The sequence below is a fragment of the Homo sapiens genome, chromosome 2, assembly GCF_000001405.40.
Source record: "Homo sapiens chromosome 2, GRCh38.p14 Primary Assembly".
Classification (NCBI taxonomy): domain Eukaryota; kingdom Metazoa; phylum Chordata; class Mammalia; order Primates; family Hominidae; genus Homo; species Homo sapiens.
The window spans coordinates 191,444,832-191,446,313 of NC_000002.12; the positions used below are offsets into that span (position 1 = coordinate 191,444,832).

The 1,482-nt window shown below is 37.9% G+C and overlaps 1 annotated feature.

Annotated features, from left to right (window-relative positions):
- Positions 767-934: a silencer, noted in NCBI's record as "fragment chr2:192310324-192310491 (GRCh37/hg19 assembly coordinates)". NCBI's record gives its function as "represses an EF-1alpha promoter that drives an FKBP-Casp9 reporter gene in an ReSE screen in K562 erythroleukemia cells {active_cell/tissue: K562}" and the evidence as "EXISTENCE:reporter gene assay evidence [ECO:0000049][PMID:32094911]".

The following is a 1,482-nucleotide window of genomic DNA, read 5'->3' on the forward strand; positions in this document are numbered from 1 at the left end:
CTGGGAGGGGGAGATTGCAGTGAGCCGAGATCGCACCACTGCACTCCAGCCTGCGTGACAGAGCAAGACTCCGTCCCCCCAAAAAAAAAAAAAATGGAAAAGAAAAAAGAAAAAATGAGCATATTGTTTATAAGGAAAAGAAATTAGATTATTATACTTTTTAACACTAATGCTGTATGCAAAAAAATATGGAGTAAGATATTTAAGATCCTCATGGAAACAAGTGTGAATTCTATATCTAGCATGACTTTCAAGTATAATAGGCACCAACAGAACTCCGGGAATATTATTCTCATGAGCCCTACCTGAAAAATCTTTTAGAAAATGAGGTTCAGATAAAATAACTAGACAAATATTGACTACTATAAGGACTGTTGGTGAGCATTGAGCACATGAGTCCCTAGAATGAAGACTGAGGGCTAAGAAAGAATGCTAATCAACTGTTTAAAATGGAGAGGGGGAATAATTTCATTGGTTATATTGGTATTAGTCTTACTATTGCCATTCTGAGACTGCGTGTAAAATAGAATAAAACAAATGAATAATTCTGAGATATTAAATCTATCATCTCCTTTGTCCTTGAGAACCAAGATTCTTCCTTGATATGGAAGAAAGGTGATACTAAAGTAGAGAAGAGATTAAATAAAACCTCAGTGAAGATATCAATATAAACCTACGTGATTCTTTGTCTTATTTTATTCCCAGATGTGTCCACTGAAAAGACACAGAGGCGGTAATCCCAGGACTTTGGGAGGCCAAAGTGGGCAGATCACCTAAGGTTGGGAGTTCAACACCAGCCTGACCAACATGGAAAAACCCCGTCTCTACTAAAAATACAAAATTAGCCGGGTGTGGTGCCGCATGCCTGTAATCCCAGCTACTCAGGAGGCTGAGGCAGGACAATCGCTTGAACACGGGAGGTGGAGGTTGCCGTGAGCCAAGATCGTGCCATTGCACTTCAGCCTGGGCAACAAGACAAACTCTGTCTCAAAAAGAAAGAAAAAGAAAAAGAAAAGACCTAGAAACAATAACTACACAGCAGCAGTAAACATCTCTAGCTTCTTTTTTGTGGTTTTACAATACCATTCATCACTGCAAAGGACCAGGTCTCTTTGGAGACAGTGCTGATTCCAGGTGTAATGCAGGAAATGAACAGACGACCCTGGAACATCTTGTCATACCAGATGGTTAGGGAGCTATCAAAGACAACTAGGGTCATGTCTAAAGGACTCAGGAGTCAACTTGAAGAGGCTACCATTGCCAAAGATGGAAAATTTTGAGTTAGTAATGATAATTGCAATGGATTAAAATTCATCAAATAGGTTTAAATCCATGATTTCATGATAATATAAAAACGTAATTATTAGTTTTGGAGGATGATAAGAAATGAAATCATTATCTTGGTAAACAGAGCCAAAAAACCAAACATTTATCCTTCATTTCCTATATGAAATGTTTTACTCTGTAAACAAATAGTAGATA